At 41.2% G+C, this 17,807-nt stretch overlaps 1 protein-coding gene and 1 long non-coding RNA gene across 6 annotated transcripts in view, besides 1 other annotated feature; one reads left to right on the top strand and one right to left on the bottom strand.

Annotated features, from left to right (window-relative positions):
• The window catches only part of PLXNC1 (plexin C1), a 159,099-nt gene that overhangs the window by 80,168 nt on the left and 61,124 nt on the right, over positions 1–17,807 (top strand). For all 5 annotated transcript variants that reach the window (NM_005761.3, XM_006719186.5, XM_047428050.1 and 2 more), the window contains exons 10-12: positions 8,920–9,059; positions 11,741–11,920; positions 15,194–15,281. In NM_005761.3, coding sequence (NP_005752.1) covers positions 8,920–9,059; positions 11,741–11,920; positions 15,194–15,281 — 408 coding nt within the window. The remainder of the gene's footprint in view (positions 1–8,919; positions 9,060–11,740; positions 11,921–15,193; positions 15,282–17,807) is intronic.
• Positions 1,834–2,113: an enhancer, noted in NCBI's record as "active region_6782". NCBI's record gives its function as "activates an Ori minimal core promoter by ATAC-STARR-seq in GM12878 lymphoblastoid cells {active_cell/tissue: GM12878}" and the evidence as "EXISTENCE:reporter gene assay evidence [ECO:0000049][PMID:35858748]".
• Positions 5,731–9,059, bottom strand: LOC124902987 (uncharacterized). The gene is made up of 2 exons (XR_007063410.1): positions 8,340–9,059; positions 5,731–8,042 (listed from the first exon to the last, which is right to left on the bottom strand). It is a non-coding gene; the product is annotated as an uncharacterized LOC124902987 (long non-coding RNA).

Below are 17,807 nucleotides of genomic sequence, written 5' to 3' on the forward strand. Positions count from 1 at the left end.
TAAGGTTGACTAATATTCCAGTGTATGTATATACCATATTTTGTTTATCCATTCATCCATGGATTAACGCTTGGGTCGCTTCCACATTTTAGCTATGATGAATAATGCTACTAGGAACGTGGGTGTGCTGCTATTTCTTCGAGACCCTGCTCTCAGTTCTTTTCGGTATATGCCCAGAAGCAGAATTACTGGATTGTATTGTAATTCTCTTTTTGGTTTTTTGAAGAACCATTGTACCGTTTTCCATAGCAACGATACCATTTTGCATTCCCACCAACAGTGCACAAGGGTTCCAGTTTCACCCCATCCTCACCAATACTTGTTATTTTCGATTTTGTTTGATAGTAGCCATCCTAATATGGGTCAGGTGGTATCTCATTGTGGTTTTGATTTGCATTTCCTTGATGATTAATGATGTTGAGCATCTTTGTGTATGCTTGCTGGCCATTTGTATATCTTCTCTGGAGAAATGTCTAATCAAGTCCTTTGCCCATTTTTAAAATTGGGTTATTTTTGTTGTTGTTGAGTTGTAGGAGTTCTTTATGTATTCTGGGTATCAACCCCCTATCAGATATATCATTTGCAAATATTTTCTACCATTCCATAGGTTTCCTTTTCATTCCGTTGACTGTGTCCTGTAATACACAGAGTTTTTAATTTTGATGAAGTCCAGTTCATTTATTTTTTCTTTTATTGCCCATGCTTTTGGTGTCAGATCCAATAAATCATTGCCAAATTCAATGTCATGAAACTTTCTTTCTGCATTTATTTGTAAAGGTCTGTAGCACTTATATTTTGGCCTCTGATTCATTCTCAGTTCATTTTTATATATGGCATAAGAAATGGGTCTAACTTCATTCTTTTGCATGTGGATATCCAGTTTTCCCAACATCATTTGTTGAAAAAAATGTCCTTTCCCCCATTGAATGGTCTTGGCACCCTCGTTGAAAATCATTTCACCATATTTGTGAGAGTGTATTTCTGGGTGTTCTTTTCTATTCTATTGGTCTATGCCTGTCTTTATGGCAGTAACGCACTGTTTGATTACTGTAGCTTTGTAAAGTAAATTTTGAAATCAGGAAATGTGAATTCTTCAACTTTGTTCTTCTTTTTCAAGATTGTTTTAGAAAATAATAAACTTTTAATTTTGAGATAATTGTAGATTCACATGTACTTGTGAGACAATAATACTTAATATCTTTTACCCAGTTTCCTTCAATAGTACTATCCTGCAAAACTATAGCAAAACATCACAGTCAGGATATTGACGTTGACAGCAGTCAAGACACAGAACAGCTCTATCATCACAAGGCTCCCCAGGTTGCCCTTTCACAGTCGCATCCATTTCCCTCCTCCCTCCCATTCTCCATCTCTGATGCCTGGCAACCACTGACCTCAGCTCCATTTCTATAATTTTATCATTTCAATAATTTTATATAAACGGAATCATCCAGATGTACCCTTTGGGGGACTGGCTCTTTTAACTCAACATAATTCTCTGGAAATTCTTCCAAGTTCTTTTATGTATCAATAATTCATTCCTTTTTATCGCTGAGTCGTGGTCCAGGCAGCGGCTTTTTAAACTTCTTTAATTTTAAAGATAAATATCATAAAGTCACTACCTCCTGGTTTCCTGCAGTGTATCTCTCTGCACCCTTTGAACTGTGTGGTTAAAAGGACTGGGGTCACCACAAGAGAAGAAGAAGGCTGAAAATAAACAAAAGCCCAGATCTGTTTTTAGTGCTTCTCTGTGGATTACCCCTCTAAGTGTGGAGAAAGACATTTTGTTGATACTGACATGTTTTCTTTAAATATGTGACTCAGAGCAGAATCTCTCTTTTGTTTGATAGGGAATGGAGTGTTATTTGTCACAGGAGGGATTTCTCGTGCTCTGTCAAACACTGCTGTCTTTCATTATCAGGTGGAATGTGTAACATTCTGGTTTCCACTTTGGGCCTTCATGTTGGCCTTGAACAAAGCACCCAATGTCTTTGTGATTCTGTTTCTACCAGAGAAGTCACTCACAGCTTTGCTTCAATGCATCTGCCCACACCACATATGTACTGAGTACTTCCTGTGTGCTAGGCACTAGGAATGGAGCAGGTACTGTCCTAGGCGTCTAGGATCCTGAACTTGAGTTGATTCTTTCTAGAGGCATTTATTGCACACCTATTAGATGCAAGTATACCGACCTCCACAGATTCCATGAGGAGGATTCAGATGAATCAGGCACATCTCTGGCCATCAGTCTCAAGAATCTTATCCATGAGTACATGAGTAAAAATACAAGATTTTAAAAATATTAATATGAAGGTACAAGAAAGTACACAGAGAGCCTCTCTGTGCCCGGGGCTTTGTCTTAGTCCTTCCTGTTTGCTTAAACCCAGTGCCTTGAAGTTGAAAACACTTAATCAGTGTGGTTGGTTAAGTCTTTGATTGATGGATGGATTGATTGCTGGAGATGGCATTTCAGCCCACCTTTGAGGACGAGAAGCATCCAGACACATGAATGCGGGTATTTGAAGCAGAGGAACCAGCATATGCACAGTGTAGGGGTAGGAGCCAGAAGATTCCAGGACACACGCTAGAGGAAACCCTAAGTAGGCACAGAGGATGCAGGAAATTATGAGACACAAGGTTGAAATGACCCTGGAGCCTGCATATATAGGGCCTCACATACCAGTCCTGTGAGTGCTCGCTTTATTCTTCAGTGGCAATGGAATGCCATTCAAGGTATCTTATTTTATTTTTTTAGTGTATGAGTTTGCTAATCCAAGGATCTGGTACTTATGAGGTAGGGTCCTGGTTCAGTCCCTACTAGGCCAGTAGCCCTCACACTGTTTCATGACCCCAAGACCTACTCCTGTATCCTGACCCTGAAACGTATAGCGTCATCTGCCAAGGGGGCTGAGTTACAGAAAAGTGTGACCACAATAGAGAAATGAGCTCAAAAATCTATGTATGACCTTGGAGGAGGAGTATTTCAAGCTATAAAGGCCAGTGTCTGACCGTCTGTCTGTTTCTTTCCACATATCTAGTAGTTGAAACCTTGTCAGGGACCGTTGGCCCTTTTACCCTGCCCTGACCACTTCTCCTTCCATTTCTTAACATTCTCATATCTGGTGCCTTCACTCACTGAGACCAGAGATAGTTCCCCTCTCTTTTGTGCATTCAAGGAGAGATTGTGAAGATTTATGATATGATGTCATTCTAATATTTGTTATTACCCTCAATATGCTTATCACTATAGGGCAGAAATAAAGCATACAAAGTCATATCCCCTGGCAATTTACATTCAAATGGTTCTTTCTCTTCCTTGCACCTCCTCTTCTCTTCCTCCATCACTTCTTCCCCCCTCCGAGATGGAGTTTCACTCTTGTTGCCCAGGGTGGAGTGCAGTGGCACAATCTCGGCTCACTGCAACCTCTGCCTCCCCAGTTCAAGTGATTCTCCTGCCTTGGCCTCCCAAGTAGCTGGGATTACAGGCACCCGCCACCATGCCCAGCTAATTTTTTCCAATTTTTAGTAGAGACAGGGTTTCACCATGTTGGCCAGGATGGTCTCGAACTCCTGACCTCAAGTGATCTGCCTGCTTCAGCCTCCCAAAGTGCTGGGATTACAGGCATGAGCCACCGCACCCGGCCCCTCCATCACTTTTGAATATGCATTTTTGATCTCTCACAGGCAATCCAGATGAATGCTTTTGGGGACCTTGCCTTCAAGAGTGAAATTAAATTTCACATATACCTTGCTGAGTAGCTTCTATGGGCCTAGCATAGAGCCGGGTACTGTAGAATTAACTTACAATCATTCATTTATTCATTCATTCAAAATTTGTTTGCTGAGCAACTACTATGTGCTAGACAGGCAGGCAAAGTGTGTGACTGCATGGAGCTTACATGGTAGAACTTATAATATTTTGGAGGAAATAAGATTCATTTTCATGAAGCAGTTGCATGTGCACAAGAGAAAAAGATACAAGAGAGAATGCCAGAATGTACTCAAATGAACAGTGGTAGCTAAGATTCGCTGAGCCTGTGCCATGCCCTGAGCTCAGAGTATCTAAGCCTCACAATGGACCTATTTTCCCCATTTTATAGATAAGGAAATTTTAGCTCAGAGAGAGCAAATGGTAGGTAAGAAATATGAATCCAGGCAATCTGACTCAACAGAGTTTTAACCATTACCCTACATTGTATGCCCTAAATTGAATATAAACATTGGTTAAACCATACTACTGATGATATTAATAAAAGTCAGTCTGGAAAGGACTCTAATATTGGCTTCTCTTGGCATTAGACTGTCAAAGCCTGCCCCCGATCCATGCCACACATGTAGGGTGGGAGCAAGACCTCCAACCTGGCCAGGATGTGGGAGGAGTGTATTAACCTCAAAGACATGGGAGAAAGGGGTGGGGCAGGGTGTGGTCCGAGGGAAGGAGTCAGACCCAGACACGGCTGGGCATCTGCTCCAAGACAGGGAGAGCAGAATAGGCTTAGTGAGGCAACTGAGGCCCTGGGGAGAGGGGAGCAGCAAGAATCTCATGCATGAGTCGAATCTTGGCCAAAGGGTGGACTTTGAGGGGCTGGGTTTAAATTAGAATCAGGGCCCTCCACTGGCTGGGAAGAGCTGCCCTCCCTGGCCCTGGAGTTTTGGTCACCCAGTCCAGGTCTGGGGAGCCACACTCAGAAGGCTCAAATGCCAAGAGGAATAGCAGGTTGTTCGGAGGGTGGGCTTGGCAGCCAAGTCAGCCTCCTTTTAGAGTCTGCAGCTCAGAGAAGTGAGTCTTGATCTCTTCGCACAGGGCATTGGTCTGTCACCTTCTATCTGGAAGTCTCAAGCTCTGTGTCCAGAGGCACTGCTCACTATTGGCATTTCCAGGGCCAACTGAAATCACATCTCAAGTTCCCTGGAGCCTGTACCGAGGGGCCCCCGTGAAAAGGCATTTGTCCCAGGGGCTAAGCATCAAATGGATAACCATTTTGTTCCATTTCACACTCTAATTTTTCTTGAGTGGACCTGTATTTTGCTATTTTCTTTCCATATCTCACCTCCTTTTACTCTTTCCCATTTCCACGGCTGGTTACCACTCTTACCAATTTATACATTTCATTAATATATTAGTTCTATCCTCTTCTCAGTCATTAATAAAGATGTTAAATAATCCTGAACCGAATACTCACTCCTGTAGGGCCCTACAGGACTCTTTCCTTTAATTAGTTGTGCTACCTTTCATCTATCTAATGTCCTTCGGTTTCAGATTTCCAGCTGGTTTTGAATCCATGTGACTTTTTATCTAGTCCTGTTTGAACTAATTTCATGAGTGAAAATCCGAGAGATGTTTTACTGAGTGTTGATTCAGGTCCAGGCCTACAGAGAGTTTGCTATATTCAGATTTTTTTTTAACAGATTAATAGAGTACAATTTGGCCTTAATAAACTGAGCCCTCCTAATGCACCTCTTTCCAATATTCTTTTCAATCATAGCAGTATTTTCTCCATTAATGTCATGGTAATTTGAATTGTGTTGACGTCAGACTTCACAAAAGGTACTCTTACTGTCAGAAGTAATCCTCTTAGACCTTTTGAAAGATAACTATTTCTTAGTGGTTGTGCTATTTCCAATATCCTATAATGACTTAGTTAAAAATAAAAAATAAAAAGGATCGGGTATTCTATAAATCTCCTAATTAACCAGCTTCTAATGTGCTTTCTTATACAAAACAGGGACTGAAAGCCAGAGCTCATAGTAGTTTATTAAATAAGTTCAAATTGTGCAGCCATTTAAAAATAACCCTGAAGTCTTTAAAACGTAACCTACAGGAAGCACACTATTCTGAGGTTAATTGCTGGACAACATAGGGCTGTGACGGTTATAGTCAACGGTATTTTGATTTGAATACATAGAAATCCTTGGACATAGAGTGAGGGAGGAATCCCACGATAGGGCTCTAAGAATTTGTCTCTTTGTATTGAGCTCAATTATGTTTTACAATTAACTCCCTCTAAAATGCATAAGCTTATAGGGCTGGCTACTATATGCCAGGTTTTATGAATTAACTCTTGATGAAAATACAAAAATTGATCTAAAATATTGAATGTGTAGAACCTTTATGGGGAAATGATTCTTTGCTCTTTTGTCTGTACTGGATTTTTCAAAATCTTTATTGGTAAAAAGAAAGAATGTATTTCTAAGAATTGTTGCAACCATACAGGGCAGCCATGGAGCTGACTCTACATTTTGTTTTAAAAATGTTGTTTTATACCTGCACTATTTATTTAGGAGGGTCCTCTTGGTAGCTCTTTAACCCATTTATTAAGATTAGAAGAGGTTCCACCAGCAAACAAAAGACAACTAATCTGAGTCTGTTTAAAAGCAGACTGAAGCACCCACTTTCACAAGACAGGCCAGGGCTGGATTCCATCCTAGATGGCCAAGAGAACCCTCTCTAAACAATAGGGGTTTAAAATGTTTTTGAAGTAGCAAGGCGGTCTCCACTCAGGGAAATAAAAAGTTAATAAGATGATGTGGCAAGTCCTCTGATGGTGTTCGTAGAGCCATTTAAGGAGCAAAATATAACTTCCTTAAAAAATCTTTTTTACATTAGTTGTAAGGCTCTCTTTATCCTCTGCAGAGAATGGAGAAGAAGCATTTACTTGGCATGTTTGAAAATTTTGCTTGAGCAGACATCAACAGTATAAATATAAGAAGCAGGAAGGACTATCTAGAAAGAAAAGAAACCTGGGAATCATAGTTGACTTGGATGTAAACGTGAGTCTGCAATGAGGTTTACATAAAAAAAGAAAAAAAATTCTATCTTGCTCCCCTAAGAAGACAGTGGACTCCTCTAGAGCAGAGGTCGGCAAATGTTTTCTACAAAGAGCCAAGACAGTAAATATTTTAGGCTTTGCGGGCCGTATGGTCTCTGCTGCAGCTACTCCACTCGACTGCTGCAGTGCAACAGCAGCCAGAGACACTACCCAGACGAATATTTATGGGTGCTGAAATTTGAATTTCATGTGTTTTTATATGTCATGAAATATTATTCTTCTTTTGACATTTTGTCATGGCCCATACAAAAGCAGGTAGCGGGCAGGATCTGGCCCACAGACTATAGTTTGCCAACTCCTGATCTAGTGCACACATAGATCATGTGTCCCCCACAATATCTGGCCTAAGGACCCTGTAGGTGCTCAATAAACACTTGTTCTCTTAGCTGTCACCACGTAAGAGCGAAGAGTAAGCCTTTTGCTATATAACACACACTTGACATTTGCAAGAGATTTATCTTGAAGGCTTTGCTAATCCCCCCATTCCAAGTACCACTCTAGCAGATAATTTCCCCCATAAAATGCAGTCAAGTATAACAGAATAATTAAAGTGACCCTTTCAGGCCCTTAGTGATTCTATTAATACAGGGCTAACGTCCTTCACAAAGTGATTAAAATAAATTCTGCTACCAAAATCAATTCTGTGTCATGTTACATCATTGCTGTGATGACATTAACAATGAATTTACCTCAATCTGCAAAACCAGTCCAAAGCGCTGATGAGTGATGGGGACGACTGTGCCGTGTAGCACCTGTGTGTGCTGGGGAGCAGAATGAGAAAATGTCTGTTTGAGCAGGATGGGCAGCCCCTGTAGCCCAGCAATGCCACCCCAATGAGTGTTCCATGTACAAAGGAGCAGAGGATACTCAATTGCTTCAAGAAGCAGGTGTTAGGCAGGTGTTGGACATCACGGAGTTCTCCCAGTGGCTCAGGGGCTTCTTCCTGGACTCGGTCCTCCAAGTGGATGCACTCAGCATTTAGAATTTCACCAAACGTCATGTGATTAAGCATCTCTGGACTTTGGGGTCATTTTCAAATATCAAGACTGAGTATATTCTGCGATGGTAGAGGATATAGGGGAAAAAAGAGTGTGAGTATGATGTTCACTCTTGCTGAAGTTCTGCTGGACTTTATATTGGGTAGAATCTTAGAATCTTATGTCCTGTTTTGGTCACCGTATTATAGAAGAATACAGACTTGCTGAAAATGGTCTACAAAAGAACAGTGAAATTATCAGAATGATAGACAGTAGCATCTGTAACATAAAAGTGAAAGAACTCAGGATTGTTTTATCTTGAAAAGGGAAAATGATTCTTGCTATCAAATAAAGGGCTTTTTTTTTAAAGGGAGAATTTGATTAGATATCACAAATGGAGAAGTAAGGTGGCATTCACCTATATGGTATGAAGCTAGGTAGCAAGGGACTCCAAGGGACATGTTCTTGACCTTAGGCCTGATAAAGTCTATTGAAACTGGGTAGCAAGAAGGAGGTTGTGGTATCTACAAACCTTGGTTGGCCACAGTGGTTTAGACATCCAACTACTTGATAGTAGGTGACTGAACAGGTTGATTTCTTGAGGTTTTTCCCCCTGCAGTATCCTCCTGGATTCAAATAGCCTCACTGTAACAAAAATATGACTGCTTTCTTGGGAACTGAATTTATCTGGAATGACATTTATTTCAACTTAACGATGAGTCTGTCATTGGCCTACGGTCAATGGACTCTCTTTCTTTTCCTTGATTTTGCTTACATTGTGAGCCTCCAGAGGCTGTAAGGCAGTAAACATTTTCAAAACTCTAGTGATACCTCACTCTTCAGACAGAATATCAGACTTTTCAACTGTATTTTCAACTGTCTTGTGAGACAAAGACTAATTGGTTTGACCTCATGCTGTCACATGTTGAGAGACATGAATCTGCAGCCCTCTTCCTTGAATTCATTGATTTCATTAAACACTGTCTGCTTGTGTTCGCAAAATGTTGTAATTTCCCAGTGATTTCTTCGAACTGCAGCGTATAAACAGATTTTTTTGGAGCGATGCCATTTCTTAGCTTTGATCTCCTGTTTTAATCTTTTCTTTCCAATAGGTCTTCTACATTAAGTCCATTGAGCCACAGAAAGTATCGACATTAGGGAAAAGCAACGTGATAGTAACGGGAGCAAACTTTACCCGGGCATCGAACATCACAATGATCCTGAAAGGAACCAGTACCTGTGATAAGGATGTGTGAGTCGAAATACTAATAATTTATCCTCGGTAACGTAACGCTCAAACCTGTGCCAAAGGAATATCAGTGTGATTATAACCTTAATATAGTCAAATTATTGCCATGCCCCAAAGCAGGCCAATTAGTCAGAGTATTTGACATAATATAATTCCAACACGTAAAATAATTTTCACAACAGATCTGAAGTTCATTGTGAGAGAATCTGTTCTGTGTTATTCCCCAAAAATCTCAGTATATAGTCATTTCAGGATGTTGCCTGTTTGGGGTCTTGATTCATTTTCAGTAACAAAATCAAGTATATGGAGTAGCAAACATCATTCTTTAGGTGATGCACTTGGAAAAATAGTTGAGTACCTTGAAATTTGATGAGGAATTTTTTGGAGCAGCTCTTCCAGTGTGCCACCCAAAGTTGAAAAAACAAAACCTCTTGGATCCATTTTATGTGGACATTTTATTCTTTGTAGCCTTCTCTTTACTGGTTTGGTTTCAGCCTCCAAAAATTAAATTACTACTACATATAATGGTAGTAAAAAAGAACACCCCAACATAAATATCTGGTCAATGTATCTCTTGAACATTATTATTTCTGTCACTTCTTTCCCAAACTCATCACATCGGTGAAACTTGGAGAAAGACTTTTCAATTTCTACCGATGTCCTTGTGCAAATGGTTACTCCCCCTTCGAAAAAAAAAAAGTGATGTGATAACTGCAGTTATTAAATAACACAACAGATTATTTGAGTTTTCTGCTTGTTAACTCATATAAGTTTGGGCTAATTTGAAGTAAAAGATGTTACAGTCTACATAGAGTATAATACTAAGCTTATTTTCATCATGGAAATGCATTTAAGACAATCTGCTGAAGCGTGATGTTTTGATTTTTAACTACTAAAACAGATTTGTACAGCATTCTAATCTGCTATGCTTATTTACTGAATTTTCTTCTTTAATTCATTTTCTGCACATCACTGCCATGCCCTTCCCCTCATAGCAGTAAATTTGGAATATCTGTGATCTTGATGAGAAAAGCTGCTCATTGGTGGCTTGCCTGTGTTCTGCTATTTGCCAGAATTATCAAGCACACATTAGAGGCTGTATCTATGCAACATAGGTTTTTTTGTGCTGTTTATCCTGGCTAAATACCTTATTGCAAAAATCTTTCATTTTATGTAGCGAAATCTGTGAAGTTAGACACCTGTGTATTCACTGAAAGGCAATCAACTTCATGGAAAATAAGTAGTTTTTCGGAGCATTACCCTGTTTCTGACTCTTTATGTTCTCATTTTAATTCCGAATGTGTCTTGAGATACTGCAGTTATTAAATTAAATGACTAGGAGACCTTTCTGCATGTCGCATTTCAGTAACCACATCTGTGTGGTGAAGCCAAGTTCACAAGCAGTCAACATAATACTCAGTTAATCCTATACCTGAGCCCAGGCTGTAATCCCAAGCTCTTTTAATATGGTACTTTTAAAATGGGTAATTATTTTAAAGAGAAAAATACTAGTAGTGGAATGACCTACATTTTCACCTCTCTTCTTCTGAAATTTATAAACAAGTTTGAATTTTAATGTTCAACCACTTTATGATAAATTTCCTAGAGCTTTGCTCTGAATATAAACCTGAAAATGTGCGTCTGAGGTGGCGTAAGTACAAACTGACTCAGATGTTTTTGAATTTGCCTTATCCTAAAGGGTTAGTGATAGCATTAAAGTTAATCATCATGCACATGGCCTTTAAGTAGTAATAACAGATTCTCATGTAGCACGGTTATACTGAGCATTATTCAGACACAACCCAGGCTTAATGATTTGTGCTTTAGAGGATCATTGTAGACACACAGAGGAAGCTGCAGGTGACAGCGGGAATGTCGGAGAAAGCTTCGCTCTGACTCTGAAAGGGCGCCAAGCATCAGCTGTTGGACATCAGGAGCACCCTGGACAGCCCCAGCTAAGTCCCAGCCTGGATACTCCTTAGGGAGCATGTTGGCCCCAATGCTGATTGATTCTGAGATGCCTGGGCTCTTGGTTTAGGCCCCCTTTGAACAGCAGAATTTCCATCTCTGTCTGGTGCTGTGTTTTACCCTCTCAGTGCTTGACTAGGGCTTTTTTTCTTAAGCTTTTTATTATGGAAACTCAAACATAATACAAGAGAGATGAGTGTAATGAACCTCTCTGTAGCCATTCCCGGTTTCAAAGCCTATCAACATTTTGCCAATCTTGCTTCATCTATCTTATCTGGGATTTTTGGGGGGGCATGATAAGAACCAAACACCATATCCTTCACTGCTAAATACTTCAGTACCTCTCTAACAGATAAGCCATAGTGCCATTATGATACTCAACAGAATTATCCACAATTCTTAACATAATGTAACCCCCAGTTCATGTTCTGCTTTCTATTAGTACTTCTTCAGGGCAATGGTTACACCTCCTTCCTTTCCCACTTCTAAGGGCAATGCAAATAAGAAAGATAAAAATGTACTAAAGAAAGAGGAACCCAACCCCTAATAATACCAACTTGGGTCACTGGCCCCTCATGAGTCAGTAGTTGCCTGCAGCTGTTCTGCTCCTTCATGAAGTGTTGTAGTTCAAGTGAAATTCATTTGCTGTCACCTTGGGTAATCAACTGTGCTAAGTGTCTGTGTCATGTGAGAGTTCTTTTTCTACTCTTTTCTAGGATACAGGTTAGCCATGTGCTAAATGACACCCACATGAAATTCTCTCTTCCATCAAGCCGGAAAGAAATGAAGGATGTGTGTATCCAGTTTGATGGTGGGAACTGCTCTTCTGTGGGATCCTTATCCTACATTGCTCTGCCACATTGTTCCCTTATATTTCCTGCTACCACCTGGATCAGGTACTTTCTAGATTCATAATCTTTTTCTCATTGTGGTTAAAGGTCATATGCCCAAAGATCATTGATTTTATTCAAGTAAATTCAGAAACAGTGGTCATTCCAAATTCCTCTCACCGAGTTCTCCTTAGGATTTACTCCTAGAAAAATGCATACCTGACAAGACATTTGCTTCCCATGCTCATCGTGAATGCTATGAGCACACCTTTTTCCCTTCACCATGGCTGCTGAGAAACTCACAGCTGAAATGTTTGCCTAGGTTTTTGATATAGATATATGACACTCTTTACTATGTGTCCCTCCTGCTTGTGATAAAAGGCTTCTTTCTTACCTCTTTCATTTTATAGACTTTAGATACTTTAAGCTGTTTTGAATTCTTTGGGGGAAATATTGGGAGCTATCAAAATGAAAAGCAGAATCAACCTTTTCAAGATGTTCCCTAAGGGGGAGATGGAAACCCCAAAATAAACTCTCCCAGATAAATCCAATATGTTAAGAAAAACATTTATCTCCCTAGTTGAATTTTTAAATTTATTACTATTATGTATTTTTTGCATTTTCATGGGTACATAATACTTGTACATGTTTATGGGACACGTGATGTTTTTTCTATGATCATACAGTGAATATGTAATCATCAAATCAGGGTAATTGGAGTATCCATCACCTCAAGCACTTATCATTTCTTTCTGTTAGGAACATTCCAATTCCACTCTTCTAGCTATTTTTAAATATGCAATAAATTATTGTGAGTTATAGACACCCTACTATGCTACTGAACACTAGATCTTATTCTATCTCATTGTATTTTTGTAGCCATTAACCAAACCCTCTTTATCCCTCTCTGGCCCCGCCACACCACCCTTCCCAGCCTCTGATACCCATAATTCTACTCTCTATCTCCATTAGACCAACTTTCTCAGCTCCCACATATGGGTGAGAACCTGCAATATTTGTCTTTCTGTGCCTGGCTTATTTCACTTAACATAATGTCCTGCAGTTCCATCTGTGTTGTTGCAAATGACAGGATCTCATTCTTTTTTGTATGCTGAATAATACTCCATTGTGTATAGGTACCACATTTTCTTTATCCTCTAATCTGTTGATGGACACTTAGGTTGAGTCCCTATCTTGGTTATTGTGAAGAATGCTGTAATAAAGATTCCTCCTAGTTGAATTTAAATTCACTTTCATAATATTTTTATTCCTAAATCTCTTTAGGACTAAAATCCTAACGATATTTTCTTTGCCTGACACAGTACGAAGCTAATTTTCAAAGTACTCTCTAGGTAAACCTACAGACAAAAAGCTTTGTTAAAAAAAAAAAAGAAGAAGAAGAAGAAGAAAAGGAGGGGAAGAGAAAGAGGAAAAAAAGTAGAGAAGAAAAAAATCACTTTTAATATTCTTATTTAAGATCAAGTGAGAGGTGGCTATATTAGTTTGCTAGGGTGGACATAAAGTGCCACAGCGTTTGTGGCTTAAACAACAGAAATTTCTTTCTCCCCGGTTCTGGAGGCTGAAATCATGGTGTTGGTAAGATTGGTTTCTCCTGAGGCCCTTACACCTTGGCTTGTAGATGGTCATCTTCTCTCTATGTCTTCACGTGGTCTTCCCTCTGTATCTCTGTCCTAATCTCCCCAATTTTTTTTTTTTTTTTTTTTTTTTTTGTGACAGTCTCACTCTGTCACCCAGGCTGGAGTGCAGTGGCGCAATCTTGGCTCACTGCAACCTCCGCCTCCCAGATTCAAGTGATTCTCCTGCCTCAGCCTCTCTAGTAGCTGGGATAATCTCCCCTTTTTATAAGGACATCGGTCATGTTGGATTAGGGCCCACCCCAATGACTTCGTTTAACCTTCCTTACCTCTTTAACCACCCACGTCTCTAAATACAGTCCCATTCTGAGGCACTGGGAGTTAGGGCTTCAACATACATTTTATGGGGACACATTTTTTGGGGACACAGTTCAGTCCATAATAGTAAGATAAGGAGAACTGAAATTTCAAAACCAAGGCTCTAGCATGACATCCCCCACTCTAGGACCAATTCCATTCTCCATATAAAAGGAGACATTGATGTGGCATGCCCCATGTGCCTGGTGTGTTCATCTATTGACTAGGTTAATCCTCACAACAAATTTATGAGATCTGCTATGGCTTGTCCCTTTTGCAAATGAGGGAACTGGGGGAGGAAAAGGGTTCAAACAACTCACCCCAGCCTCCCAGACAGCTGGTACTAGGAGGTTGGGCTCTGAGCCACAGCAGTATCCTGCTTTGCTATAAAGTAAGAGGCTCCCTACTGTTCTGTCACCTGCGACATTCTGAGCCTGTGTGTCTTGGCTGCTCCTTGGTCACTGTGCCTTGAGCAAGAATGTGGCTCTAAATGCTGGCCATCGGGAGATCACGCTTGGCTCGGTTTTCTGGTAATGGCTACAGACTGGCATGAGGCCAACTCAGCCCTTCCCCATTGTGGCTGGAGGATTCAGAGATCAGTGTCTTCTCTCTGCCCTACACAAATTGGGTTGCTCAGGCCCACCTCCTGGTCTTGTCATCAGGGGCTCAGCTGGCTGTTGGACCTGACGTACCCAGGCTCTTGTCCCCTAGAATGAGTGTCTGGTGACCTACGTGAACAGGGGTGCAAGGGCAGACAGAGCTGTGGACAGCTGTTTCTTTCACACCCAGTGACCGCTTTGCTTATATGCACTGAGAAACGTGAAGTTATTTGGCCTGGTTTTAGAGAGATGGAATGCAGCTGTTATTTATACGGCGTACCAAATAGGAATTTACACTTTGCATGTCATCTGTAATTCTACCTTGCCCAAAGTGTTTCCTGTCTCTCTAAATAACATACCATTGGTAGGTTAGGAGTTTGATTTTGAAAATTCTTAGATTGAAGTCTCTTTATATAGATTAAACAGTAATCAAACAAAATTCTGTTTAGTGAAACCTTTTCAAGGTACAGCTCCTGATCTGATTATATGTGGCGATATGACACAAACAAAATTCAAATTCCATCAAAGAATCTGGGCATTTTCCTAGAATTAAAATAGGATCTGACCTGAATTTTTATATTTATGCATCTTGAAACCCATGAATTTGTGGCTGGTATCCTGAAAAGATTCCCAAAATTGTCCTGTATTTGAAATTAAAATTCATTAATTTGCTCTCAAACATAATTGGGTTTAATATTAAACATGAATAAATTGATAGCTTTGTTCATAAATGCAAAATGCCTGTGTGTTAGCTATGAAACCCTTATTGTTGCTTTTATTCCTTGCAGTGGTGGTCAAAATATAACCATGATGGGCAGAAATTTTGATGTAATTGACAACTTAATCATTTCACATGAATTAAAAGGAAACATAAATGTAAGTCTCCAGCTGCTTTGTAATAATAGTTGTTTTCAAGGATGGTTCTATTTTCATCACACTATGCTATGTTGGGGGTATTTTTTGTTTCTGTGACTTTGGTGTTATAAACTTTTACCTATGCTATCATATATTCTATCCATGCTAGAATGGAAATAATAAGACCTTATCCTTGTAGCTGAGTATTTCTAGTTGCAGCAATGAGGAAAGAGAAATGAACTTGGTACGATAAGACCTGACATTTTCTTTTTATGTGATTTGTGGCAAGTCACCCTAATGAGGCAATGCTTATGAATATGTGTGAAAATGCTCCGTGAATGGTTAAGGTGTGATATAAAGAATTGCATTTCTGTGAAGAGTAGGTGGTATTGTTCCCATTGCACAGAGAGAGTTGGGTTCACAGAGGTTAGATGACTTGCCAAGGTCCCAGAAATCTTGTCATGTGCTTCTCCTTCTCTTCGACCCAATTTGTTCCCTACCATCTGATGTCACCTTCTCTTACCTTTCGTCTCCCCACAGGAGAAATGGTAGGAGGGGTCTGGTTTCCACCTTTGCCCGATTCTCCCACTGGTGCCTCCAGATGGGGATCCTCTAGAGCAGGGGTGTCAACCTTTTGGCTTCCTGTGGCCACATTGGAAGAAGAATTGTCTTGGGCCACACATAAGATACACCAACACTAACGATAGCTAATGAGCTAAAAAATGGTTTGTGCATAATTTCCGTGATATCCACCACCACAGATAAGCAAAAAAGTCCTCACATTCAAAAGGCTGGACACGGCTGCTCTAGATGGAAGCTTCTGATGCCAAGAGGGGAGATGAGGGATTTCACATACAAGTCAGGCCTCCAAGTGTACTTGCACACACTTCTAAATATCCTTCCCCATTCTTTCTTCCCCTTTTTCCCTCTCCTTGATGAGATATGTGAGGTGGCTGCCTCTCTGGGGCCCTGCCTGACCACTTCCTGCCAAGGCTGACACACTCCCTCCTCAGGAGCAGTGTGGGTTCAGACCCAAATTCCGGGGGCCGCCTGATAGGCCGTCCTTACAGCCTTGTGGTGCACACATTCACCTGCTGACACAGTTCAGAGCCACTTCCAAGCCTCACACTGTATCTGACTCCAGGCCTCATCTCCATGGTGTGAACACCTCCAGTTGAATGGCTCGTATAGTTTGACCCTCTGAGCAGAGGCATTACCTGAGTTTGTCACGGACTTGCTCTCCCTCCTACTTGCTGTTCCCAAATCAAGTTGAATTTTTTGAGCACCTACTGCAGGCAAAACATTTTGCTGGGTGCAGGGACAAAAGATAAGTGAGATAGTCATATTGCCTTCATGGAGGCAGGCAGCAAATCTACATTGGGATTGAAAGTTGAGGCTGGGTGTGGTGGCTCACGATTATAATCCCAGCACTTTGGGAGGCCAAGGCGGGAAGACTGCTTGAGGCCAGGAGTTCGAGACCAGCCTAGGCAACATAGTGAGACCCCCATCTCTATAAAATAAAAATTAAAAAAGTTGACAGCACAGAGTATCATCAGGTTCTAGGTCCTCTGGTTCCCTAACTGTTCAGAAACCCTGTGAGTCCAAGAAGACACCATTTCTTTTCACATTAAAGAGAAATTAAACATGCATGGGATTAAGTACGCCTGCAGTATGGAGTGGGGTGGGTGGAAGCAGGGAGGTGAGTTCAGGTACAGAGGACAGAGTCCTCGCAGGCCCGTGCTGGGAACATCACTCAATCCTGCTTAGTGGGAACCTAGAGGGTGGGTCTGGAATGACCAAGAGCGATAGCTGTAAAACTGAGCTGGGGCCACAAAAAGCAGCGTCAGACTGAAAACTTTGCCCTTAATTCTGTAGGCAGCAGGGAGCCACTGAAGATCTCTGAGCAGGAAGTGACATAGGTCTAGGTACACTGGACTCACACTGGACCGAGACAATTAGTGACAATGAAAGCAGTCAGAAGGTTACCAATGGGAAAAGAGACTATGCAGAAAGCAGTAGACTAGGGAAAGGGGAGGATTCTGACCCAAAAGGCTTCGGTGTCCTGTCTTGAGTCCTGGGAAACCACGAGAAAAGAAGAGAGTGTCCAACCCCCAGCAGGGGCCAGCTCCTGAAGTGCTTGTTGCCGCTGAATCACTCTTTGTTGGGGAACCTCCTGCAGGGCGGTTATTATTTTGGCAATGGTGCACAGCTGAGTTTGGAGAGGCAGGAACTGAAGAAAGGCTGGGAGCCCAGTGAGGATGCTCATGCCAGTGCAGGTGTGTCTGAGACGTCCACAGTCTCTCTGGGCTGACAGTAGCTCCCTTTGGGCTGTGGTTAGCAGAGCAGGTCTCAAGTGCTGGGGCATCGTGAAGCTAGAGATGACCAGCTTGTCTTTATAGCAGTATCGTTGAAGGGAGAGTGGGGGTGACATCATGGGAGTGAGAGCACAGAGGAGGAAGAAAAGAGCACCTAGGACTGGTGGCAAAGCTTCATTTTAAGGAATGACAGACAGTAGGATGGGCCGTGAAGGTGGCCGAGAAGGTGCTC

This window comes from Homo sapiens, chromosome 12, assembly GCF_000001405.40.
Source record: "Homo sapiens chromosome 12, GRCh38.p14 Primary Assembly".
Lineage (NCBI taxonomy): Eukaryota > Metazoa > Chordata > Mammalia > Primates > Hominidae > Homo > Homo sapiens.